Source organism: Homo sapiens, chromosome 11, assembly GCF_000001405.40.
Source record: "Homo sapiens chromosome 11, GRCh38.p14 Primary Assembly".
NCBI lineage: Eukaryota > Metazoa > Chordata > Mammalia > Primates > Hominidae > Homo > Homo sapiens.
In genome coordinates, this window is record NC_000011.10 from 56,541,870 (window position 1) to 56,543,465 (window position 1,596).

A 1,596-nucleotide genomic window follows, 5' to 3' on the forward strand; every position below is an offset into this window, starting at 1 on the left:
CTCTGCTGAAGCAGCAGGCGAGAATAAGAATAGAATACATTCAAGAAATTGGGCTGGGAGCACATTTATTTTGTTTGCCATTGTAAACAAAAAGAGCACAACAGTGTTCCAGGGCATGCCACGTTTCACCCACAGCAGTGCTCCTCAAAATTCAGTGTGCTTATCAATCATCTAGGAGTTTGGATAAAACACATATTTAAATACAGTGCACCTGAGGTGCAGACTTTGATTCTGTACGTGTAACAACCTCCAAGGAAGAGCTCATGCTGCTGATTCATGGAATATATGTGGAGGAGCAAAGCCTAGAAAAATCTCATTTTTACCCAGCATGAGCTTTTTAGCTGAGACACTCAACATAGACTCACAGAGAATATTAAAACTCACCATCAGAACGCTAGGACATGTGAGCCAAAGATTTCGATTTAATGTTTATTAGGAAACAAAGGCATCACCATGGTCATGACAATATTTCATCTCAGGACATTCTTCAAGGCCTGCTTCACATCTTTATTCCTCAGACTGTAGATCAATGGATTAAGTACCGGACTCACAAAGGTGTAAAAGACAGCTATTATTTTAGATTCCTCAACAGTCTTATCTGTTGGTGGTCTTATATACATGCAAAAGAGAGTCCCATAAAACAGGGTGACAGCCATCATATGGGAACCACAGGTGGAGAATGCCTTGTGCCTTCCCTCTGCTGATTTGATCCGGAGGATGGCAGCAAGAATGAAGGCATAGGACACCAAGACGATGGTGAGGGAGCTGGAGAGGTTGAAGCCAGCAGATATGAACATGGCATGCTCTTTGACATAAGTATCAGAACAAGAAAGCTTAATGAGCGGCGGGTCAGCACAGTAGAAGTGGTTGATGACACTGGATCTACAGAAGGTCAGGCGGAAGGTCAGGATGGCCTGGAAGAGTCCATCTGAGAAGCCATAGACATAGGGAAATGTGGCCAAGCAGATGCAAACTCTCCTGGACGTTTTCACACTGTAGCGCAGAGGGTCATATATGGCCACATAGCGGTCATAGGCCATTGCTGCCAGCATGTAAAACTCAGTGAGTAGAAGGGCAATGAAAATGTAGCACTGTGTAAAGCAACCAGCAAAGGAAATGGTCTTCTCAGATACGATATTAGTCGACATCTGCGGGGTTGCATTTGATGTATAGCACAAATCCACAAAGGCTAAGTTAGTGAGGAAGAAGTACATGGGCGTGTGAAGGCGAGAGTCCAGTCTCATTAACATTATCATGCCCAGGTTGCCTAGCAGGGTGACGAGGTAAACAACCAGAAACAGCACAAAAAGCAGAGACTGGAGTTCCGGGCAATCTGTGAGCCCAAGTAAAATGAATTCTGTGATTGCACTGCCATTTGTGTTGGACATTTCCTGACAGTTTGCTCTTCAAGCTATGGAAATAAAGCCAATATAAACAAATGCACATACCATGTTAATGTTCATTTGAATTAGTTTTTCTCCACATCTTCATATATCATCGAAAGTTATCTATTTCTGGGTACTACCATAAACTGGTTTTGGTAATTATGGTAGACTTACTATAATTTTGTAAGTCTACAATGTCATTATATCATTT

At 42.4% G+C, this 1,596-nt stretch overlaps 1 protein-coding gene across 1 annotated transcript; it reads right to left on the reverse strand.

Annotated features, from left to right (window-relative positions):
* Positions 1-470: 470 nt before the first annotated feature.
* OR5M11 (olfactory receptor family 5 subfamily M member 11) lies at positions 471-1,388 on the reverse strand. Its single transcript, NM_001005245.1, has one exon. It carries the CDS (start codon positions 1,386-1,388, stop codon positions 471-473), a length of 918 nt encoding a protein of 305 aa, NP_001005245.1.
* Positions 1,389-1,596: the final 208 nt, after the last annotated feature.